The sequence below is a fragment of the Homo sapiens genome, chromosome 7, assembly GCF_000001405.40.
Source record: "Homo sapiens chromosome 7, GRCh38.p14 Primary Assembly".
NCBI lineage: Eukaryota > Metazoa > Chordata > Mammalia > Primates > Hominidae > Homo > Homo sapiens.
This window is the reverse complement of record NC_000007.14, coordinates 131,518,495-131,543,437: the sequence shown is the minus strand read 5'-3', so window position 1 is coordinate 131,543,437 and position 24,943 is coordinate 131,518,495. Positions and strand designations below refer to the sequence as shown.

Genomic DNA, 24,943 nt, shown 5'->3' with positions numbered 1-24,943 from the left:
GGGACAAGGGATGGCCTGGCACTGTGGTTCACACCTATAATCCCAGCACTTTGGGAGGCCGAGGCAGGAGGATCGTTTGAAGCCAGGAGTTCAAGACCAGCCTGGGCAACATAGTGAGGCCCTATCTCTACATACAGTTTAAAAATTAGTCAAGCATGGTGGTATGGACCTGTAATTCCAGCTACCTGGGAGGCTGAGGTGGGTACTACTTGCTAAGCCTAGAAGTTTGAGAGGCTGTAGTGAGCTATGATTGTGCCACTGTACTCCAGCATGGATGACATAACAAGACCCTATCTTTAAATAAATATGAAAATAATAAGTTTAAAAAGTAGAAAACTGTGGCTTCAAAACATACATTTGGCTGAACTGATGACAAAAAAGAAAAGCAGAGAACATCCCAGCCTCTGGTCACAGAGCACCGTGAACTCAGCCCCAGCCTGTCCCTGGCCCCTGCGTCCAGCCCGAGGGGTGGCATCAGCTCCTCGTGCTCTGCATCTCTAGACCTTGTGCCAGCAAAGACCAGGCTGTAAGGGAAAACAAGAAAGGTGACAGCTCCTCGGACCAGGATCTCTGGATCCTGTGATCCTGGCTCTGCCTCTCCCTAGAAGCTGCACTACTGCCATGCTCTAGAGGGAGGGAGGCTCTAACTGGCGCTGTACATGCTTTCCAGACGAGAAATCCAAGGCGGAGGATGCTGGTGATTTTACCTAGAGTCACGTCTTGAGGCTCCAGGTACCCCCTTTCCACTTTATTTGTTGCTGTTATTGCTGTTGTCGTCGTTGAGACAGGGTCTCCCTCTGTCACCCAGGCTGGAGTACAGTGGCACAAACATGGCTTACTGCAGCCTTGACCTCCTAGGCTGAAGCGATCCTCCTGCCTCAGCTTCCTGTGTAGCTGGGACCACAGGCATGCACCACCATGCCTTGCTAATTTTAAAAATTATTTGTAGAGGTGAGGTGTCGTTATATTGCCCAGGCTGGTCTTGAACTCCTGGGCTCAAGTGATCCTCATGCCTCAGCCTCCCAAAGTGCTGGGATTACAGGCGTGAGTCACCGCAGCCAGCCTCCCTTCCACTTTGAATTAGCCTTCTTTTCTTGTTCTGGGCATGGGAGTGGCCAAATAAACTTGGCCTAGACATCTGGGCCTCTGCACCCACCTTGCAGGGTAGCCAGACTGGGCAGAGAGAGAGGGCAGAGAGAGAACGGGGCATGGAGCCTTGAGGGCCAGGGGGCAAGAGACGGTGCCTTCCTTTCCTCCACCCCTTTTGGAGCCCCAAGTCTGACTTCAGAATCAATCTTGTGTGATCTAAGCAAACCTGACCCCTTTCCTGACCTGCAAAACTTCAGAGGGAAATATTTTGCTCCCAGTTTCTTGGAAAAAGAAGAGCTGTGAGTTCACAGCTGTGCGCATGAGTGTGTGTGTATGTCATTGAGGCATGTACTCAGTCATGCCTCTGTCCCCCCTCTCTGATGTCATGAAACTACTTTTAGGGGATGAATGTTCAGCTGTTTGGACACCTGGCTCCAACTGGGGCTGGCCCTGAGATTCTTGATTCACTTCCCTAGGCGGTGCCCATAGGAAACCGGGCTTCCTTGACGAACTCTAGCGTCTCAAACACAGGGAGGGCCATGATGACTTGGCTTTGTTTAAAAGGAACATGGCCTTTAACTTTCCCTGCAGGCCCTGGCAGGGGACAAGGGAGCCAGTCCTCAATTGTTTAATGATATCCACTTACTTGGTTTGTTTGTCTTTTTTTTTTTTTTTTGAGACGGAGTCTCGCTCTGTTGCCCAGGCTGGAGTGCAGTGGCTCACTGCAACCTCCGCCTCCCAGGTTCGAGCAATTATCTGCCTCAGCCTTCCGAGGAGCGGGATTAGAGACGCCCACCACCAAGCCCGGCTAATTTTTGTATTTTTAGTAGAGATGGGGTTTCACCATGTTAACCAGGCTGGTCTTGAACTCCTGACCTCGTGATCCACCCGCCTCGGCCTCCCAAAGTGCTGGGATTACAGGTGTGAGCCACTGCGCCTGGCCTGTTTGTTCTTTTTAAGCAACACCTTCCCACCCCCAAGTCACCCCCAACCCCACTTCCACTCCACTCCCTACTGTCCAAAAGATACAGGCTCCACTGTCAAAAACCACCAAAGAAATTCGGATCGTGTGCTCTGTGGGAGGTAACCATGCTTTTTCTTCCACCTCCTGGGCCAAGGAGAGAGATAGGTGATAGTTTTAGCTTTATTTGCCCTGCTTTGCAGAGTAAGCGGGTGACCATCAGAGAGCCTTAGCTCCTGCTCCTGCTCCAACCCCAGCATGCACGGATTTAGTCTGGGATTTTGCCTGGGGAACGTGCCCTGCTGTGAATTACTCTGCAGCAAGAAGGACACAGGTGTTATTCCTGGAAGGGGAGAATTCTCGCCAGGACAGAACACAAAGAGGATAGAAATTTGGAGAGCTGAACTTGCTGCCTTAACCTTCAGTGTCCACCAGACGGAAGCAGATCATTCCCTGGGAAATTCACAGGCTCCATTTCACAGAACTTTCTCCCTCTCTTCCCAGAGGCACTCTCCGTTTCAGAGGTGACTATCCCACAGCCATGCATGCGGGACTTCCCTCTGGCTCGGGGCCCTTGTTTGTTTTAGGCCAGGAGTGGAGACTCGGCCCTGGTGGAGGTTTCCAGAGGCCACTGAGAAACCCATACACATCTGGTTATTTTCACGGCTGCAGGAGGCCGGAGGTGGCGTGGGAAAGACAACGTGCTCCCTCAGAAAAATATTTACCAAGGTTGTTTTTGAACTTACTGCTAGGGGAAGAGTTGTGTGCCAAATGTCCGGGCGCTTTGGCTCTGGAAGTGTGTGTGTGCCTGGGGACAGGTTGCAGGTGCTCCTGGGAGCAGGGACAGGGCCAGTTGAGAAGGGTGAGGGTCGGTGCGAAGGGTGCGGGTCGGTGCAGACCCAGTGTGATGGGTATTGGGGGGCGGGGGCAGGGTAGAACACTCATCCCCGAGACAGTTGGGTTAGAATCTGGCTCTCTGACCTGGGGTGGGGCCTTCCCTGGGCTAGTCTGTCTCTCCTTTTCTGAACGAGGTACATAATAGGCCAGACACTGTGGCTCACTCCTGTAATCTCAATACTTTGGGAGTCTGAGGCAGGAGGATCACTTGAGCTCAGGAGTTCAAGGCTAGTTTGGGCAACAGAGTGAGACCGTATCTCTACAAAATAATCAAAAACATAGCTGGGTGTGGTGGTGCACACCTGTGGTCCCAGCTACATGGCAGGCTGAGGTGGGAGGATCATCTGAGCCCAGGAGGAGGTTGAAGCTGCAGTGAGCCGTGATCGCGCCACCGCACTCCAATCTGGGTGACAGAGCAAGACCCTGTCTCTAAAAAGATTAAAAATTAAAAGGTACTAAAGGTGTGTCCTCAGAGGGTGCTGGAGACACAAATGAGATCATATGCAGGAAGAACGTGGCGCAGAGTCTGGCCAATATGCTAAGACCTCAGTATTTGCCCAGTATTAAGTTTACAGTCATGAGGATAAACTGCTCTTAGGAGGTGTCATTTAATAGGTGGATTTACAGAAAGTTCCAGCATGTGAGTGAGGCAGCATGTCCACCCCTCTACCCCGTGGTCTCAGAGCTGCCCCGAGTGTACCAGGACACATGCAGCACCCAGACTGGGCACGGACGTTCCTGTCTCCTGCTCACAGCAGGGGGTCGGCAAGGCTGGCTGAGCCTGGCTGCCCCTTCTTCCAGCCCCGCCCTCAGTAAGGATACTGTAGATTTGGAATATTTAAACATTTTCCTCAAAGTTTTTACATTTCGGGGACTGGGCGTGGTGGCTCACGCCTGTAATCCCAGCACTTTGGGAGGCTGATCACGAGGTCAGGACTTCAAGACCAGCCTGGCCAACGTGGCGACACCCCATGTCTACTAAAAATACAAAAATGAGCTGAGCGTGGTGGTGCGTGCCTGTAATCCCAGCTACCCAGGAGACTGAGACTGGACAGTCACTTGAACCCGGGAGGCGGAGGTTGCAGTAAGCCGAGATCACAATACTGCACTGCAGCCTGGGTGACAGGGCAAGACCCTGTCTCAAAAAAAAGAGCTTATACATTCTAAAAAATATGTTCATTTTGTTCCAAGATAGATATGTCTCCCTCGACAGATGAGGAAACCAAGGTCCAAAGAGGTCCCCGGCTCACACAGACATCCAGGTCTCCATTTGCAGAGCTCACTTTTTCTGTGGAGGCTGCATCACATCTTGGATGTGGTCATTTAAACTGACCTTAAAGGCAGGGCGAGTGGCCACTCTGCCACCTCCCCCGGGTGCTGTCCTGTGGTGGTGACTTGTTTGGGAGCCCATCTTGGGCAGGCGAGGTTAGCGAAGGCATCCAGGCATCAGCCCTGTCCCCGTCCTCGCCTGCCAGCTGGCTGGTGTGTTGGCTGTCCCTGGGCACAAGGCCCAGGAAGACAGATCAGGATTCACATGGTCTGCTGCAGGGGAAGGGATTAGGAGGCCCCTGGGGAGGGTATTGTTTTAAGGAGGTTAGTCTGCTCTTTCCAGCTCAGGAAGAACCCATCCCCTTCTCTGGGCAGGCTGGTGGTCCCTAGACAAAGCCTGACACCACGTACAAAGCTCCAGGGGCTCGGCATGGGGACGCCTCTCTTGTTAGCAACAGCAACAACAGTGGGAGCGGGAGTGGGGAGCAGGATGGGGAGTGGGGAGCAGTTGAGAGGGAGAGGAACCAGAGCGGGCAGGGGTGGGCTGAGCCCCAGGGAGTGGCGACGCAGGAATCTTGGGTGGCACCGTCGATTGAATTCCAGGCTCTCCTGTTACCTCTCTGCCTTCAGCCACAGAATTATAGTCATGAGTCATTCCAAAGAATGTATCTAGAAGCTTCCTGCTGAGGCGCTGGGTCCTGTTAGGGGGTAGGGGTGGGGTTCCGCCCTCTGACCTCCACCTGGAGGATGCAGTGTCACCAACTCTGGGCCTGATTTTCATCAGGTGAGACTGTAGAGGTCATTGAACCCTGTGCTCCCTGCATTATGAGGAAACTGAGCCCCACTAGCTGCTGTGCCAGGGCATGATGGAGGATGAGGCTGGCTCCCCGCAGAGCACTTCTGCCCCTGCCACTCCTTCCCTGCCAGGCCTTGGGGATGGGAAGCTCGGTCAGAGAATGGGTCTGGGACACACAACGGAGTGGGGCAGCCCATACAGAAACAGCCTGAGGGTCTGCCTGGGGGTAGGGGGGTCATCCTCCCAACTAAGTCAGAGCACAGGGGAGGGGCCAGGAGCTGGTCTCCTGGTTCATCTCCCTCCTGTACTCTGCAGGGCCACAGTGGGCCCTGTGCAGCCTTGCCACAGATGTGTTTGAAGTGCGTACACATCAGTTTCCCAAAGACAGGGACTGCGATGGTCACGGAAGCCCTATTCACAATGGCCCTAAACTGGAAGCCGCCCAAATGCCCATCAGCAGCAGAATGGACAAATACATAGTGGCATGTGCACACAATAGAGTCCTCCACTGTAATGGGGGCGAACAGTCTGCGACCGCACACCACGAGAAGGATGAGTTACACAAAGCAAAGCTGAGTGAGGGAAGCCAGACCCAAGAGTCACGACGGTGTGATGCCATTGATATGAAATCCCACAACAGACACAACCCCGAATCTTCTCAGTCAGAATAATAGCGGTTACCCTCGGGGATGGAGAGGAACACAGGCAGGGCTTCTGAGACGAGCTGTCCAGTTTCACCATCTGGTGCTGGTTAAATGTGTGTATTCCCTCGAGGACAATTCATCAAGCTGTACACTTGTGATATGCACCTTTTTGGGGGGGTGGGGTGGGGTGGGGCGGAGTCTTGCTTCCATGCCCAGGCTGGAATGCAATGGTGTAATCTCGGCTCACTGCAACCTCTGCCTCCCACTCCCAGGTTCAAGCAGTTCTCCTGCCCCAGCCTCCTGCGTAGCTGAGACTACAGGCACGTGCTACCATGCCCAGCTGATTTTTGTATTTTTAGTAGAGACAGGGTTTCACCATATTGGCCAGGATTGTCTCGAACTCCTGACCTAGGCCTCCCAAAGTGCTGGGATTACAGGCGTGAGCCACCGTGCTTGGCTTTTTTTTTTTAAAAAAACAGGTTCTCACTGTCACCCAGGCTGGAGTGCAGTGTTGCAATGATGGCTCACTGCAGCCTCGACCTCCTGGGCTCACGCAATTCTCCCACCTCAGCCCTGCAAGTAGCTGGGACTACAGGTACACACCACCAGGCCTGGCAATCAATTAATTAGTTAACTAATTTACGCATACATACATATATACAGGGTCTCACTCTGTCATCCGGGATGGAGTGCAGTGGCGCAATTATGGCTCACTGCAGCCTCCACCTCCCTGGGCTCAGGTGATCCTCCTGCCTCAGCCTCCTGAGGAGCTGGGACTACAGGTGTGCGCCACCACACCCAGCTCATTTTTGTATTTTTAGTAGAGATGGGGTTTCACCATGTTGGCCAGGCTGGTCTTGAACTCCTGATCTCAAGTGATCTGACTGCCTCGGCCTCCCAAAGTGCTGGGATTGCAGGTGTAAGCCACTGCACCTGGCCACGTGCCATTTTTTAAATGCCTGTAATTCTTTAGTGAAACATTTTTTAAAATGATAGGGAAAGGGGCTGTTCTGAGAACCTCCTGACTGAGCACAGTAGAACCTACTGTGAGCATGGGGCAGCGGCACTGAAGGATGAAAACACCAGGCTCCAGACAGGCAGTTCAGGTGAGCCTCCCAGGGGGAGGGGCGCTGGGGACAGGAACCAGCAGGGAGAGGCCCAGGAGAAGTGGCAGGGAAGGCCAGATTAGGCGCCTTAACCTGCTGTGTTGGACTGGCCTTTTTTGCTGGCTGACTTCTACCCCAGCCCTGACACCAGCTGCTGCTGGCCCGAGGGTGTAAGCACCATCCTGGAACACACTTATCAGGTGTTTGTTGGGACTGGGTTCTGTGCAGGTGCCAGGGATACGAGAGAAACAGTCGTGGTCCCTCCCACAGAAGCCTCAGCATCTGCCCACTGAGGGGTGGCAATACCAGTAGACAGCACCAGCCATCCAGAGGGGAGGGCACCTCTCCAAGGACCCGTCATGCCATACATCTCCCCTGGCATCTATTATTGGATTGTGGAACTTTCAGATTTTAAAATCTATCTTAGTTTTTAAGTGGTTTTGAGTAGCTAGCTGACAGCTTAGGTATTTTCCTTTGCCATATGAGTTGCAAATATTTTTTCCCAGTTTGCCATGATGTGGCTTGGTTTCTAACAGGCTAGTACAAGTGACACTTGTCAGGCTCTTTAGGAAAGTCAGAATAGGATCCACAGCTGGGTTAAAAAACATAGTCCTCTTTGGCCAAGCACAGTGGCTCATGCCTATAATCCCAGCACTTTGGGAAGCAGAGGAGGGAGGATCACTTGGGCTCAAGAGTTTGAGACCAGCCTGGATAACATAGTGAGACTCTGTCTCTACAAAAAATTAATTAGTTGGGCAGGGTGGTAAGCACTTGTAGTCCTAGCTACTCGGGAGGCTGAGGTGGGAGGATTGCTTGAGCCTGGGAGGTCAAGGCTGCAGTGAGCTGTGATTGTGCCACTGCACTCCAGCCTGGGCAACAGAGCGAGACCATCTCAAAAAAACAAAGAAACAAAAATAGGCCTAGCCCCAGGGGGATCTTAGACATCAGTGGTCAGCATATGACTGCTTGGCCAGCTGTATTTGTCAGTAAAGTTTTCTTGGAACACAGTCAAACCCATTTATGTACAGGTTGTTTCTGCGGTTGTCTTCAGGCCCATGACGGCAAAGTTGAGTAGTTGCGGCAGAGACTGTATGGCCCCCTATAAGGCCTAAGATATTTACTTTGGTCTTTTATGGAAAAAGTGTGTGACCTCTGTTGTACAATACTGTGTCACAGAGTGATTCCACACACGAGAGGGTGTTCTTTCCTGCACACAGGGCCATGGAGAGAAAGCTGCCCCCAGTCACACTGGTGTCCCAAACTGACCTGTTTACTTGCTGTGGTGTTGAACGCTTTCTTCACTTGTGTGTGTGTGTGGTCCAATTGACTTACCGTACAGCTTACTGTAATAACCATTTTTAGGGGTGCAGTTCAGTGGCATTAAGTACCTTCTTCACACTGTCATGCACCTGCTCCTATCATCCACCTGCAGAAGATGTTCATCCTCCGACACTGAAGCTCTGCACCCATCAGATGCTAACTCCCCTTCCCTTCCCTCCAGACTGCCTTCACTTTCAAAGTGGAGATAATAACACATATCTCATGTCCTTTTGAGAATTAAGGAGATACCCTGGCCCTCCGTTGATGGTCAATATATTTCTTTTTCTTTTCTTTTTTCTTTTTTGAGATAGAGTCTTGCTTTGTCACCCCGGCTGGAGTGCAGTGGCCCGATCTTGGCTCACTGCAACCTCTGCCTCCCAGGCTCAAGCCATCCTCCCACCTCAGCCTCCTGAGTAGCTAGGACTACAGGCTACAGCACACCCAGCTAATTTTTTTGTGTGTATTTTTGGTAGAGACAGGGTTTCACCATGTTTTCCAGGCTGGTCTTGAACTCCTGAGCTCAAGCGATCTGCCCACCTCAGCTTCCCAAAGTGCTGGGATTTCAGGTGTGAGCCACCACACCCGGCCATGTGTATTAAAATATCTTTTAATACATTTGAGTTCCCTGCCTTCTTCCTCCAGAGTCTCACTTACCAGACTCTTCCATCTTGGTCCACACCCATCGTGATGGACAAGGGAAGGAGGCAGAAGTGATTGAGCTTCATTTCCCTGAGGAGGAAAGCCAGGCCCAAGAGGGAGAAGGGCACAGCCAGTGAAGTCTGAGCTCCAGCCCCCTCCTGACCCCCACCCCACCCTACTGCCTACCCCCGCCGGCCACCCCTGTGGCCCTGACACCAGGCACTGGTCCTGGAGCCCAGCTGACCTCACATAGAGCTCTCACAGGTGGCGGCCTTGCCCCGCCAGGATGGGGTGCGGGGTCATTATCAGGGTAGAACTTGAGGCTGACAGCCGGAAAGCCCCTCCCTCCATCTCTGAGCCGGTGAGGAAACACTTCCTGGAGTTGGGGTCCCCCAGGCCTGGGTTTCCTTTCCTTCTCCAGGAAGGTTCAGGCTCAGCTCCTCATCTGGGTCTTCTCTTGACCACAGCTGCCCTGGTGCCTCATCTTCTCCCCTCCCCAGATCAGCCATGCCTCACTGAGAAGGAAGAGCCACATGGGTCTGGGCAGACCTGCACCCACTCTCACCTTGGCAAGGCCTGTGCAGGTGTGAGTGGCTCGAGAGGGAGTGGAGGAGGAGTGGAGGAGGAGGTGGGCTGCGCGGCTCTAACGGGTAAGGGGAGGTGGGGTGCCTTTCCTTCCCCCCTGCACAGCTCAGCAGGAATATAATTATAGCTGCCATAGATCGGGCACTTTCTATGTGCACACACTGCTCTAAGTACTCAAAGGTATAGAGTTTGTTACTTTTATTACCCTGCTCTCCAATTTTGACAGATGGGGAAACTGAGGAACAGCATTCAGACATTTATGTTAAGTCGAGACTCTTGCCTGGTTATACAGCTTGTGTGTGGACTGGAAGCCGGGTGTCGGGCTCCCTGGTACATGCTCTTAGCCTCTGTCCTGTACTGCTTTAGTGGGGAGTTACAGAGGGGCACCTCTGAGGCAGGGATGTGGGCAGATGGGAGCCAAGTATCCTTGGGTGCTGTGCCCTGCTCCCAGGTGTTGAGGACAGGAAAGAATGAGGACTTGTCAGCCCTGGGAAGAAGTGGTGTGAACCAGGGCTTCTTACAGGTGATCTGGCCACAGTGCCCTCCCTGCAGGGAGAAATGCACCCAAGCGAAGGCTGCCCTTCCCCATCGCTGGGACATCTCCACGCTAGACAGTGGCAGCCCTCTCCTGCCCAGGGAAGCAGGCAGACGGGCCCCACCCTACAGGGAGCAGCGGGTGCCGGGCAGGCCAGCTGAAACAAGCTGATAAGGGCAGAACAATTCCAGATTTGAAGAATGCCCGGAATTATCTCCCCTAAGGGGGCAGCTCTCAGCCCCTCTGGGAGAGGTGATGCTGAGAGGCAGGCCTGACGACCCCACCCCTGAGGTGCCGTCCTGCTACCCAGAGGCCCCAAGTCTCACAGCTGCCAGGGTCCTGGGGACCACAGAGCCAACAGACCTGCCAGGGTCCCAGGGAAGGGACGGGGAGGGTGGAGCATGACTGGAGTCTGTGGCTGCACTTATCTACCTGACACTCAGCCTGTGTGGGGGTAAGGGGCGCACGTTGGGGACCCGGCCTTGCCCCAGACAGTTGGAGCAGCCCTTCCTGCTGTCTCTGTTCTCGTTATTAATCTCCATCCTGAACCCCTTGTCTTAGCTCTGATTTTTGTTACAGTATAACAAAATACTGTCGGCTGGGTGGCTTAGGCAACAGACATTTATTTCTCACAGATCTGGGGGCTGAAAGTCGCAGATCAGGGTTCCGGCATGGTCAGGTTCTGGCGAGGGCGTTTCCTGGCTTGTAGACAGGGCCTTCACGCTGTGACCTCACCGGGCAGAGAGAAGTTCTGCTGTCTCTTCCTCTTCCTAAAAGGACACTAATCCATCATGGAGGCTCCATCCTCAGGACCTCATCTAAACCTAAGTCTCTCCCAAGGCACCGCCTCCTAAGACCTTCACGCTGGGGGTTGGGGCTTCCACATATGCACTGGATGTGGGGCCCAGACAGTCAAGTCTGTCATACCCCTTATACCCAGGGAAGTCAAGCCACCCCACTTTTGGGGCCCTGAGCCCAAGCAGGGGACCATTTAGAGGGAAAGAGCACAACCCCAGGAGTCACTACCCCCTATTTTCCAGATGGGGACCTATGGCAGACCAAAAATGTACCCCCCCTCCAAAAAAAAGATATACAAGTAAAAATCTCTGGAACGTGTGATTATTATTATTATTATTTATTTTTAATTTTTTTTTTTTTTTTGAGACGGAGTCTTGCTTTGTCGCCCAGGCTGGAGTGCAGTGGCGCGATCTCAGCTCACTGCCAGCTCCGCCTCCCAGGTTCACACCATTCTCCTGCCTCAGCCTCCCGAGTAGCTGGGACTACAGGCACCTGCCACCATGCCCGGCTAATTTTTTTGTACTTTTAATAGAGACGGGGTTTCACCGTGTTAGCCAGGATGTTCTCGATCTCCTGACCTCGTGATCCACCCTCCTCGGCCTCCCAAAGTGCTGAGATTACAGGCTTGAGCCACCACGCCCGGCCACGTGTGATGATGATGATGATGATGATGATTATTATTATTATTATTATTTTGAGATGGAGTTTCGCTCTTGTTGCCCAGGCTGGAGTGCAATAGCACGATCTCCAGCTCACTGCAACCTGGGTTCAAGCTATTCTCCTGCCTCAGCCTCCCGAGCAGCTGGGATTACAGCCATGCACCACCATGCCCAGCTAATTTTGTATTTTTAGTAGAGATGGGGTTTCTCCATGTTGGTCAGGGTGGTCTCAAACTCCCAACCTCAGGTGATCCGCCCACCTCGGCCTCCCAAAGTGCGGGATTACAGGCATGAGCCACCGCGCCTGGCTGGAATGTGTGATTATTAACTTATGTGGACAAAGGGTCTTTACAGATAATAACTGAGGACCTCAAGATGAGAGCATGCTGGTTTTAAGTGGGTGGGCCCTAAATCCAATGACAAGTGTCCTCATAAGAGGCACATAGAGAAGGTGGCCATGTGACCATGAGGGCAGAGGTTGGCGGGATACTGCTTCAGCCAGGGAGTGTCAGAAGCACACACCTTGATTTTAGACTTCTGGCTTCCAGAATGGTGAGAGACTACATTTCTGTTGTTTTAAGCCTTTGTGGTAATTTGTTATGGCGGTCGTAGGTAAACTGATCTAGGACTTGAGGCGCAGAGATGGGCCAAGGTTCACCTGAGCACATGCAGATGGGGAAGAGAGCCGACACTGGTTGGCGAGAGTGAGGCGAGTCAGTTCCTCGATGGCCTTCCCATGCTGTCCTCTGCAGACAAGCTCCTTGCTCTTATCCCAGGTCAGGTTCCTCCTGGAGGCATCAACATCTGGTTGGCACCTTGCAGGGTAGAGAGGGGGAGATACTGGTTTTCTTAAAGCCACAGAGGTCAATTGTTTATAAGCGGCTGGATATAGCATTAATAAGATTCCAGAGCAGAAGACCAGAGCCAACAGCCTCCAAGGACAGGACCCACACTGGGCTGGAGGGATCCAGAAGGGCCTTTTGGTGGAAGGAAATGAGTGCCCAGCTAAGCAAGAGCAGGGCAAGGGGATGACCAGACCGCTGGGGCAGGGAATTAAGCGTACTGACTTAATTTTTTTTTTGAGACGGAGTTTTGCTCTTGTTGCCCAGACTGGAGTGCAATGGTGCGATCTTGGCTCACTGCAATCTCCGCCTCCCGGGTTCAAGCGATTCTCCTGTCTCAGCCTCCCGAGTAGCTGGGATTAGAGGCATGTGCCACCACGCCCAGCTAATTTTTTATTATTAGTAGAGACGGGGTTTCTCCATGTTGGTCAGGCTGGTCTCATACTCCCGACCTCAGGTGATCCACCCGCCTTGGCCTCCCGAGTGCTGGGATTATAGGTGGGAGCCACCACACCTGGCCTTTTTTTTTTTTTTTTTTCTGAGACATGATCTTTCCCCATTGCCCAGGCTGGAGTGCAGTGGTGTGATCATAGCTCACTGCAGCCTCAAGTGATAGCTCGTAGCTCACTGGGCTCAAGTGATCCTCCTACCTCATCGTGAGTAGCTGGGACTACAGGTGCCCCTCCACCATACTCACCTAATGTTTTGAATATTTTGTAGAGATGAGGTCTTGCTATGTTGCCCAGGCTGGTCTCAAACTCCTGGGCTCAAGTGATTCTCCCGCCTTGGCTTCCCAAATTGCTGGGATTATAGGTATGAGCCACCAAGCCCAGCCCTGACCTGATTAATAACACCCAAGACACACAGAGGTGGGACCGTAACATGGGGAGCATCACGTCCTTCACAAGGAAGGCTGGGGAGTGAGGGGGCTGCATGCAGGGGCGAGAGAGGGCACCTGATACCTTGGTGCTGGGAGGAGTCCTGGCCAAGTGAACAGAGAGCAGCCCCAGGTCCCTTACTGATCCGGCTCTCCCATGCCACCCTGCCTCGCTGTCCTGCCCAGCTGGCAATAAAAAGGCCAGTGTACAATGGCCAGCAGGACTTGTAGCCTGAGAAGGTGTGCCCTGGAGAGCTGGGGGTGGGGGGGTGGGGTGTAGACCTCAACCTGGCCGAACCTGCAATGGCATCACACCAGGCCCTTCCCGAGTCCTAGCAGCTCCCTGCACCCCCTGGAAAGAAGAGGCTTGTGGAGCAGATACCACATGTTGGAAAAATGAGTGTTAGGGTTGGGCAGCCCTTGGAAAGGCCCCGCCTATACCCCTAGGGAGGCCCAGCGCAAGCCCTCCCGCCTATACCCCTAGGGAGGCCCAGCGCAAGCCCTCTGAAATGACTGGCTAGGATGGCTCTGCTGTCACAGCCAAAGCAGGCTTACCTAGTATACAGTGTCGTGCTCAGGAGAGTGCGTACACACCCCGAGGGACCTTAGGAATCTTCTGGCCCACCTTTCACAGATGCATTTCAAGAGGGCAGACAGCTTGCCCAGGCCTGAGGGTCCAAGGCGGGGGCAGGATGAGAAGGTTCAGACCTTCTCATTTCCCAGCCTGCGCTCTTCCCTTTGGCACACCAATCGAGGAACACATCCGCTCATCTTGCCTGTCTCTCCCCTTGGAAGTTTTTTTTTTTATTTCTGTGGAGATGAGTTGGGGGTGGTAAGCAGGGGATAAAGAAGGAAGGAGAGGTCGATACTGGTGTCCAGGCCAGAGCCTCTCATCCCACCTCCTCCCTGGCCTCCTTCCACACCCCTCTTCCTGGAGCATTCTTTCCAGTTTCCTTTCCCACTATTAATAGTCAAGAGTCAATCCCAGGTCTGGAAATAGCCAGTAACAGAGGAAGCAGGCCCTCCTTGAAGATTGAAGCAGGCTTCCCACCCCAGGGGAGCAGACTGAAGTCTGTCTTCTCCTCCCACTGTCCCCCTGGCCCCCGGGGGAGCTGGCACTGCGTTAACTCATTCAACACAGGCTTCAACATCAGCAGGAATGTCATGTCATTTCTACCCTGCTGTGATGTACTGACCTCTTCAGCCCTGTCCATCACTCACCAAAGACTTTCACTCCATCCTCTCCATCTTAATAGGTGTCATCATTCTTGGTGACTCCAGTACTCACTTGGGTAAACAATGAAATACCCTGGCCTCTGTTTCTCAACATTTTCTCATCTCTACTTCATTGGGTCATTCCCGTTTCCCCCCCTGAACTTTATCAGCCCCTCAAACTGTATCACCTCTGAAATCTCAGCATTTCCTCCTTGTATCACTGTCTCTCTACCTTCCAACTTATCTGCTCAAGTAAACCCACATCACGATGCTTGAACTCAAGACCTAACAAAGAGTCCAGTAACCTTCCTCATTGCCTGTCAGCCCCTACCTGGCCTTATTTCTGTCTTTCTCCATCCTCTAGGTCAACAATCCACCATTAGAATCCTTGCGTTACAAAGATATCCCCAAATTCCTTGCACCCTCTCCTGCTGTCATACCTAGCAAAACCCCCATTCTCAGATAAACCTTTGCCTCCATTTTTCTACATCAAGCAGCTGAACATCGCTACAGTAAAATCTGGCCGATTGCATTAACTTTAAATTCATGATGCCATGCCTCAATTTGGCACCAAATACTACTTGACAATCACATTTTACTTCTCTAGCATAGTGGTTCTCAAAGTGTGGTCCTCTGGCCAGAAGCATCAGAATCTTTTGGGAACTTGTTAGAAATGCATATTTCACATCCCAGGCCTGCTGAATCAGGAACTCAGGGGCTGGATCCAGCTGCTGGTGTTTTCACAACCTCTGTGTGATTCTGACGCTTGCTGAAGATTGAGAACCTCTTTTCTAAGAGGTTCACGTTCCTATTTCCAACATGAGTATTTTACACTTTTCCCTCAAATACTCCCTTCTCCTTTTTTCTATCTATATCACTATAGCTGATTTCATCTAGACTTCATTGAGAAAATTAAAGCTGTCAAATGTAAACTTTTTCTACCACCAAAATACAGCTGCAGTTATGACTGTATCCATTTTCTTCCCTCCTGTTTCAAAGACGGAAGTGTTAGCTGGGTGCGGTGGCTCACGCCTGAAATCCCAGCACTTTGGGAGGCTGAGGCAGGTAGATCACTTGAGGTCAGGAGTTTGAGACCAGCCAACATGGTGAAACCCCATCTCTACTAAAAAAATACAAAAATTAGCCAGGTGATGGGCGCCTGTAATCCCAGCTACTTGGGAGGCTGAGGCAGGAGAATTGCTTGAACCCAGGAGAGAGAGGTTGCGGTGAGCTGAGATTGCACCACTGCACTCCAGCCAGGGTGACCGAGCAAGACTCCCTCTCAAAAAAAAAAAAAAAAAAAAAGTGTCTGACTATCCAGTGAAGGCCAAATCCTCTACTGGTGCTGAGTTGGCACAGGTCTATCTCCTCTGCATCTTAAGGACCCTATGAAACAGTAGGAGGAGAACACATACACAAAGAAAGCATTCATACCAGCTCTAGCATCTCCTACCTTCGAAAAGGAAACAAGTTTCTTGACTGTCCCAGCTCCCTCCAGCTGCTGCCGTATGTCTCTGGTCCCCTAGCATTTGAGAAAGAGTTGTCCACACATGCAAACTCATTTTCCTACCATTCATTCACTCTTCAGTCTGCCCGAGTCAGGCTTCCACCTGCACTGTGCCCACTGAAACTGCACATGGTGGTTGCCAGGGACTTCCCTTTGCCAGTCTCATCATTCAGCACAGCCAACCACTCCTTCCTTAAAACGTGAATCTAAAGCAGAAGCTTCTGTTGCATCTCCCTGTTTCCCCCTAGAGATAACTAGTATTCTAAACTTACTGTTAAATCCTCTGTAAAATTTTAGTAACATCTTCTGTTTCCCTAAAAACATTTAGTATTGCCGATTTTTGTGCCTTGTAAGTAGAACCGTATGAGTGTTCTTGTTCTTCTTTTATTGCCTAATATTATTCTTTAGATTAATGCTAATAGATGTAGTCCACCCATTTTCAGTCCTGTAGAGCATTCTAGAAGAATATGCTATCACTTTATTTATCCATACTACTGTCAGCTGTACTGTCAACTGTACTCTACTACTATCAACATTGCGTTTTCTTGCTACCTGTATGGGGCCAATGTGAAACTACTCTTAAGGGCATTTTTGTAAATGCACTGTGATGCATACTTGTCTCCCTAGGATAAGTGCCTAGTGATACAGTTAGAAGTTGTGGGCCAGGTGTGGTGGCTCACGCCTGTAATGCCAGCACTTTGGGAGGCCAAGATGGGTGGATCACTTGAGGTCAGGAGTTTGAGACCATCCTGGCCAACATGGTGAAACCCCATCTCTACTAAAAATACAAAAATTAGCCGGCCGTGGTGACGGGCACCTGTAATCCCAGCTACTCGGATACAGGCTGAGGCAGGAGAATTGCTTGAACCCAGGAGGCGGAGGCTATAGTGAGCCGAGATCGCGCCACTGCACTCCAGCCTGGGCAACAGACTCCGTCTCAAAAAAAAAAAAAAAAAAAAGAGTAAGGAAGTTGTGGATTGAACAATATGTGTACACGTCTAACTTTCTTTGATAATGCCACACTCTTTTCCAAAGTGTTTCAACCAATTTACACTACTTCATATTCTTGCTACCACTTCTTACTACTTTAAAATGTTTGTCAATCTGATGGGTATGAAATGAAAATTCTTATTTTGCATTTCCCTAATTACTAACATTTTCAGATGTTCTTAGGCTGTGCTTTTTTTTTTTCTGTAAAATGCATGTTTAATTTTTTTTCTATTGGGTTGTTTTCTTAAGTATAGAAGTTTTGGGGGCATACCTACAATTTTTTTGGAAAAGCACTGTAAGGATGCTTTATTTATTTAATCATTTATTTATCAGATTAGACTCGTGGATATTTATTTTATTCTTGGGGTTCCGATCCAGTATTTCTTGTTTTGTTGCTCAAATTGTTCCAGGTTTGGCCATTATGAGCTCTTTCCTGTTGACCCTCTTTCAGGTCTTGCAGGCTGAACTTGCCTTCCTCTTCGTTTCATTTTTATTTTTTTTAGCACTTCTTTATTTTCTGACATTACAAGATGTTCCAGGCTTATCTTGCATTTTCCTTGTATCAGCATTAGAAATCAAGCCCTTTCTCCAAGGAGCCTTGGTTCATTTCATTGTAGAATGGTATCAGAAACCAAACATGGACCTGGGTGTACCCTATGCTACTGGTTTGTCACTGCTTCCAGATGCTCTGAGTGGACAGAGCTGGGAAATATACATTTGTTTAGTATGTATTCATTTCCTCATCTGTCATCTATTTGTCTATTGAAACATGAGTTCCGACTGACTGACATCACTGCCTCTCATCAAGCATCACAGGGCTAGCCTCCTCCCCACCCGTTTACTTATTTGTAACTTCTTTCTCCAAGAGCTAGAAACCTGGCTTATGTTATCTATAGTTTATTTAATTATTTGTTCAATCCTAGTATACATGTCAAGTAGGTTTGAAATTGACATGCCCTTGTGAGAAACATTCTTACTACTTAAAATACACTGTTTTTATGCAGTTCGTTACAGTATCTAGTTTAAAAAAAAACTTTCCCAGAGTCAACTCTTGTTCTCCACCCTCTTCAGCGAGGTTATGTTATACTTTTTTTGTGTTTTTTTTTTTGAGATGGAGTTTTGCTCTTGTCTCCCGGGCTAGAATGCAATGGCACGATCTCAGCTCACTACAACCTCTGCCTCCCAGTTCAAGCGGTCCTGCCTCCCGAGTAGCTGGGATTACAGGCACGCACCACCATGCCTGGCTAATTTTTGTATTTTTTTTTTTTTTTTTTTTTTTTTTGGTAGAGATGAGGTTTTGCCATGTTGGCCAGGCTGGTCTCGAACTCCTGACCTCAGGTGATCTGTCCGCCTCGGCCTCCCAAAGTGCTGGGATTACAGGTGTGAACCAGTGCGCCTGGCCATGTTATACCTTTATAATATAGTTAAATTGATTTTCATAGTCTCCATTACATCCTAGGATTTCCTGGACATCTGAGATGATTATTTTTCTAAATTGACATTAAGTAAAGTTAATTCTTGGAGTACGCAAATCTTTGGGTTTCAACAGATGCAGAGTCTTGTGGATCCTTGTGCATCACTCACTGTCCTAAAAATAATCTTGTATGGAGTTGAGGAGTCTGCTCCTCCCAGTTCCCTCAACCTCTGGTGTCTACCTATCTGTTTTCTATCCCTATCATTTTGCCCTTTCCATAACATCAAAATGGAATCAAATGCTGTGCAGACTTTTGGCTTCCTTCACTTAGCAAAATGTATTTAAGTCTTATCTATATTGTCACATGAATCACTAGTTTATTCCTTTTTATTGCTGAGTAGTCATTATATGGCTATATAATATTCATTCACTTGTTGAAGAATATCTTGGTGGTTCTCAGTTTTGGGTGATGGTAAATAAAACTGCTATAAACATTTGCATGTAGGTTTTTATGTGACTATAGGTTTTCATTTCATGTAGGTAAATAAGAATGGAATTGCTGGGTCATATAATAATTGTTTGCTTCACTTTAAAATAAACTGCTAACCTGTTTTCCAAATTATCTGTACCATTGTGCATTCTGACCAGCAATGTATGAGAGATCCTGTTTAGCATTTGGGATCGTCAGTTTGTTTGATTTTAGCTATTCCAATAGGTATGTAATGGTGCTGCATTGGAGCTTGAATTTGAATTTGTCTAATGACTAATGAGGAGCATCTTTTCATATGCTTATTTGCCATCTGTATATCTTTGGTAATTTTTCCTTGGAGATCTTTTGCCTGTTTTAAAAAATTGGGTTTTTATTGTTGAGTTTTCCTTGTTGTTTTCTCTCTCTCTCTCTCTCTCTCTCTCTCTGTGTGTGTGTGTGTGTGCGTGTGTGTGTGTGTTTCCTATTGAACTCAGTAGGACTCACAGTACAGTGTTCAATAGGAGTGGAAAGAGAGGACATCCTTGCTTTGTTCTCAAACTTCACAGCAAAGCATTCAATCTCTTCCCATTAAGTATGATGTTAGCTGTAGGTTTATTTGGAGACGTCACTAATTAGGTGAGGGAAGTTCTCTACTATTCCTGGTTTGCTGAAAGGTTTTGTTTTGCTTTGTTTTAAATCATGAATGGATATTAAATTTTGTTAGATGGGCCAGGTGCAGTGGCTCACGCCTGTAATCCCAACACTTTGGAAGGTCCAGGCGGGTGGATTGCCTGAGGTCAGGAGTTCGAGACCAGCCTGCACAACACAGTGAAACCCCGTCTCTACTAAAATACAAAAAATTAACTGGGCGTGGTGGCGTGCACCTGTAATCCCAGCCACTCAGGAAGCTGAGGCAGGAGAATTGCTTGAACCCGGGAGGCGGAGGTTGAGGTGAGCCGAGATTGCACCACTGTACTCCAGCCTGGGCAACAGAGTGAGACTGTCTCCATCTCAAAAAAAAAAAAATTTGTTAGATGATTTTTCTGCAAATATAAAAATAATCTTGTATGGAGTTGAGGAGTCTGCTGATCATATGGTTTTTCTTTTTCTTTTTCTTTTCTTGTTTTTTTTTTTTTTTTTTTTTTTTGAGACGGATTCTCGCTCTGTTGCCCAGGCTGGAGTGCAGTGGCGCCATCTCAGCTCACTGCAAGCTCCGCCTGGGTTCATGCCATTCTCCTGCCTCAGCCTCCCAAGTAGCTGAGATTACAGGTGCCCGCCACCAAGCCCGGCTAATTTTTTGTATTTTTAGTAGAGACAGGGTTTCACCGTGTTAGCCAGGATGGTCTCGATCTCCTGACCTCGTGATCTGCCCGCCTCACCCTCCCAAAATGCTGGGATTACAGGCGTGAGCCACCATGCCCGGCTCATATGGTTTTTCTTATTTTGCTTCTTAATGTGTTGAATTGCATTGATTGATTTTTCAAATACTGAACTGTCCATGATGAGCCTCACTTGGTCATTATGTCCTTTCTATGTAGTGTTGGATTTGATTAGTAATTAGGGAAATAAAAATTAAAACCACAGTGAGATACTATTTAGTGCCTACTAAAATGGCAATAATGGAAAAGATGATAACTGTTGGCAAGGATCTGGAAAAATTGGATTCACAAAAAAATTGCTGATTGACATGTTAAAATGGGGTAGCCACTTTGGAAAATAGCTTGGCAGTCCCTCCAGATACTAAATAAAGAGTTACCATATGACCTAGCAATTCCAATCCTAGGTATGTACCCAAGGGAAATTGAAAACATGTCCACATAAAAACCTGTGCACAAATGTTCATAGCAGCATTATGCATAATAGCCCAAGGGTTAAAACAACCCAAATGTTCATCAGCCGATTAATGGATGAGCAAAAATGGAAGCTCCATACTGTGAAATATCATTTAGCAATACAAAGGAGTAAGGAACAGACACATGCTAGCATGGATGAACCAGGAAAACAAAAGTGAAAGAGAAAAGCTTGAAAACACATCAAAGTGAAAGAAGCCAGTCACAGAAGACCACGTAGTGTATGATCCCGTTTACATGAACTCTCTAGAATAGGTGAGTCCATAGACAGAAGTAGATTAGTGGCTGCCTACTGTGTGGCTTTTCTTTTGCTGTGTCTTTAGTGCGAAGGTTTATGTTAATCAAGGCACGAGTTAGGCTGGGCTTCACAATTTGTTGTTGCTATGAATACCTTCGGTGCACCCGGGGCTGCAAAGTCCTCCAGTAATATCTCTGTGGGTCCCTGCTTGGCTGTAGCCCATCCTTGTTTGCTGCTCCTCAAATAGTCTGCCTTTTGCAGCTCCCCACAGCTGTATTCCACTGTTTTTATTTGAGATGCATCCTCGCCATGTTGCCCAGGCTGGAGTGCTGTGGCACAATCTCAGCTCCACTGCAACCTCCACCTCCCGGGTTCAAGCGGTTCTCCTGTCTCGGTAGCTGGGACTACTCAGTATGTGCCACCAAGCCTGGCTAATTTTTTGTATTTTTAGTAGAGACAGGGTTTCATTGTGTTGGCCAGGCTGGTCTCGAACACCTGACCTCAGGTGATCTACCCACCTTGACCTCCCAAAGTGCTGGGATTACAGGCGTGAGCCACTGCGCCCTGCTGCTCCACTGTTATTTTTTACTTCACACTTGCTGGCCTTGTGGAACAGGGGAGGGGACCATTTCCTGATGTTCTGTTTAAGTCTCACTCAGGCCCTGGGAAGCTGAGCTTGAGGGTGCGGCCTTCACTGGCATTCCTGCCTCTTCCTAGATGTTCGGGCTGGGTTTAGCCCACAGCTCTGCTTTGCTTCAGGAATAAGGAGCTGTTTTATCTTTCCTATTCTCTTCCCTGGCTGCGGGAGGTTTCCGCCAGTGCCCTCAGGCTGTAGATTTTACTGACCTCCACCTGAAAGGCTTCTTTCCTGCCCTGTGGGAATGTGGTGGGTATGGAGTTTCAGCACCGGCTGTTTTCTTTCCCCAGCCAGCCCCACCCGCAAGGGTTTGCTTTTTCAAGGCTTCCTATGAGCACCTGGCGGGGTTCCCAGGAGTAAACTGCCCTGTGTTGTGGACCTTACAATGCCTACAGCTCACAGGGCTTCACATTTTCATACTAACCCATACACAGCTTTTAGAAATTCATTTGAAAATTGTCTTTAATCAGCTGGGTGTGGTGGCTCACGTCTGTAATCCCAGCACTTTGGGAAGCCGAGGTGGGTCCATCACGAGGTCAGGAGTTCGAGACCAACCTGACCAACATGGTGAAACCCCTTCTCTACTAAAAATACAACCGGGCGTGGTGGTGCATGCCTATAATCCCAGCCACTCAGGAGGCTGAGGCCGGAGAATCACTTGAACCTTGGAGGCTGAGGTTGCAGTGAGCCAGTGAGCTGAAATCACACCACTGCACTCCAGCCTGGGTGACAGAGTGAGACTCCGTCTCAAAAAAAAAAAAAATTGACCTTAATCTTCTTAACGAACTTTGTCCATGTCCCAGGTAAAGCAAGTGTGCTCGGGTCCCATTGCTCCCTGCAGTTGTCCATCTGTCTCCACTTTTCAGGGTCATTGTTTTCTTCATGACCTCAGGGCTCAAGAAAAGTCTTAACTTTTTGGCTTCTCAGCTTTTTTTTTTTTTTTGAGATGGAGTCGCCCAGGCTGGAGTGCAGTGGCACAATCTCAGCTCAGTGTAGTCTCTGCCTCCTGGGTTCAAGTAAATCTCCTGCCTCAGCCTCCTGAGTAGCTGGGATTACAGGCACCTGCCACCACGCCCGGCTAATTTTTGTATTTTTAGTAGAGATGGGATTTCGCCATATTGGCCAGACTTATCTCGAACTCCTGACCTCAAGTGATCGGCCCGCCTCAGCCTCCCAAAGTGCTGGGATTAAAGGCGTGAGCCACCATGCCCAGCCTCTCAGCTTTTTTCTTGTAGTCAGAGTAGGAGCAAAGTTCTTTCCAGTCTCTGCTCTCATTAGCTGAAACTGGAAGTCCTATTGTTTCTTTTGATGAACACAAATTCTTAACTTTGACGCTAAATGTATCAGTCTTTTTCTTTGGTTTGCGCTTTTCATGTTTTGTTGATGGACGATTGTACATGAAACAATTCCTTTTACAGACACATATTAGAGCAGAACAGATTGTGCTACAGAAAGTTCATGTAAGGCCAGAATGATTTGATCTTTGAATCCTGTTTTGGAGTTTCTTTATGAAAAAAGTACCTATTCAATTTATTTTTTTTCCCTTTTTTGTGGTTTTATACCTTTATTTGACATATTCGACAGTCAGCAGTTATTTCTCATCCACACTGACTGTCTATAGATTTTTGAAAGTGATAACAGGCACGTGGGTAACCAAAGTATAGAGCTTGTTTGGTGAATCTTCATCCTCATTCTGTTTCCTGGACAACCGCACAGGGATAGGTATGGGACATTCTTTATTCCTTTGGCCCAGACAGCTTTGATGAGCCTGGTATCAATGCGCACATCTGGAGTTCCCATCTCTTTCATGGCAAATTTCTGGATCTCTGTGAGTGCCTGAGGGGCATGCTGCTTGAAGCCCACTCCAGGAAGCTCTTGGGATTGTTGATGGTGCATTCTCGGGTCACCACCTCGTTGATGGTAGAACGGCCTTTCTTCTCACCACCCTCTTCGCAGGAGCCATTTTACCGCACCCAAGTTGGAAAGGCTCAATTTCTTTATGATTATAGGATAAATGATTATTTCCGTTTTCCTTGAGTCACTCTGGTAAGTTTTTTTCTTTCCCAAGAAATTTGTGGCAGGGCACAGTGTCTCATATCTGTAGTCCCAGCACTTTGGGAGACTGAGGCAGATGGATCCCTTGAGCCCAGGAGTTTGAGTCCAGCCTGGGCAACATGGTGAAACCCTATCTCTACAAAAAATACAAAAATTTTAGCTGAGCGTGGTGGTACATGCCTGTAGTCCCAGCTACCCAGGAGGCTGAAGTAGGAGGATTGCTTGACCCCAGGAGATTGTAATGAGCCAAGATCACACTGTTGCATTCCAGCCTGTGGGACGGAGTGAGACTCTGTCTCAAAAAAATAAAAAAAAGAAAGAAATTTGTCTGTCTCGTCTGCTTCAGATTTATAAATATTTGCCCATAAGGTATTATGCTTTAAATAACTATTACTATTTTTGTACCTCACATTGTTTACTTATGCCTTTGGATTTTTTTTTTTCCCCTTTTGATCAACCTCTCCAAAGACTTTTTGGCACTTTATTAGCCTGTTTAAAAAAAACAATTTTTGATTTTGATATGTGCTATTGTATTTTGGTTTCTATTTCTTTGGTTGTTCTTTCATTCCTCCATTTTTTTCTTTAGGTTGTTTTGTGGCTTTCTATTGTTAGATTGAAGGTGGTAGATAGAGGACCAGGCCTGGGCTGGTCTTAAAGGAGGACAATGGAAATTGGAGCGCGGCTCACACCCTCAGAATGCCTGTTCCTACCCCCACCCATACCTAAAGGTCTCTAAGAGAATTAGTTACCCGAGATCAGCTGAATGAGGAGTGAAAAAACCAAGCCTGGTTTTATATGATTTGGGATAATATGCTAGTACCAGCCCAAACTGGACAGTGACAGGAGAAAAGCTCTATATCCTGAAGGGTGGCGTAGAAAGAAAATTCTCCCAGTGGCCAGGACTTTAAAGAATACATTTCCTGGTCTTTTGTTTTTGAAGGAAAGGTCCACTGAGGCGAGGCTCTGAACAGATTCATCAGCAGGAGCTAATCATTTTTAAAACAATGCTAGGGAACTCAGAAGGAACAGCAATGGAGAATCAGTGTGACCTGGAAGGTTAGGCAGGCCTGTGGAGGGACCCACAGGGATAGGTCTGGAGTGTGAGGATATTTGCCTGCGTCTAGAGAAAGGCTCTGGGTAATCAGATGGGCAAGATGACCCCTTCAGCATATCAGTTTTCTTCTCCATCGCCTAATGATGGCGCTGTGGATCTGTGACCAAGTGGCGTGGTGGAGGGCGGCCCGTTCTGGACCTGCGTGTGCCCTCCAGGCTGCCACGTTTCTGTCAGCGGCGCCGTTTCTGGACTTCCAGGATGCTTTATTCACCATCACAATTACCCCACAGACCATAGGCTTTACCAAGGAGCTCACTCTATGGCAGGATAAGTGGCCTGTTAAATTTTATCAGACTTAGCCTGAACCCTACATGGGGCTAAATAATGAAGCAGGAAGGAATATGGCTAGAACCCAGGGGATTCCCCATGGTGCCAGTCATAAAAGTAAATGGAAAGACCTCTTACGGACAGCATCCTTAAACACTCTCATCCCCAAT

At 48.9% G+C, this 24,943-nt stretch overlaps 1 protein-coding gene and 1 pseudogene across 2 annotated transcripts in view, besides 3 other annotated features; one reads left to right on the top strand and one right to left on the bottom strand.

Moving 5' to 3' along the window:
* The window catches only part of PODXL (podocalyxin like), a 56,358-nt gene that overhangs the window by 13,191 nt on the left and 18,224 nt on the right, over positions 1-24,943 (top strand). The window lies entirely within an intron of this gene.
* Positions 6,439-7,363: an enhancer, noted in NCBI's record as "H3K27ac-H3K4me1 hESC enhancer chr7:131220834-131221758 (GRCh37/hg19 assembly coordinates)". NCBI's record gives its function as "activates a minimal SCP1, AML or CMV promoter by ChIP-STARR-seq in naive H9 embryonic stem cells {active_cell/tissue: H9 hESC(naive)}" and the evidence as "EXISTENCE:reporter gene assay evidence [ECO:0000049][PMID:30033119]".
* Positions 12,853-13,352: an enhancer, noted in NCBI's record as "H3K4me1 hESC enhancer chr7:131214845-131215344 (GRCh37/hg19 assembly coordinates)". NCBI's record gives its function as "activates a minimal SCP1, AML or CMV promoter by ChIP-STARR-seq in primed H9 embryonic stem cells {active_cell/tissue: H9 hESC(primed)}" and the evidence as "EXISTENCE:reporter gene assay evidence [ECO:0000049][PMID:30033119]".
* Positions 20,541-20,640: an enhancer, noted in NCBI's record as "active region_26677". NCBI's record gives its function as "activates an Ori minimal core promoter by ATAC-STARR-seq in GM12878 lymphoblastoid cells {active_cell/tissue: GM12878}" and the evidence as "EXISTENCE:reporter gene assay evidence [ECO:0000049][PMID:35858748]".
* On the bottom strand, positions 22,961-23,324 carry RPL31P36 (ribosomal protein L31 pseudogene 36; annotated as a pseudogene).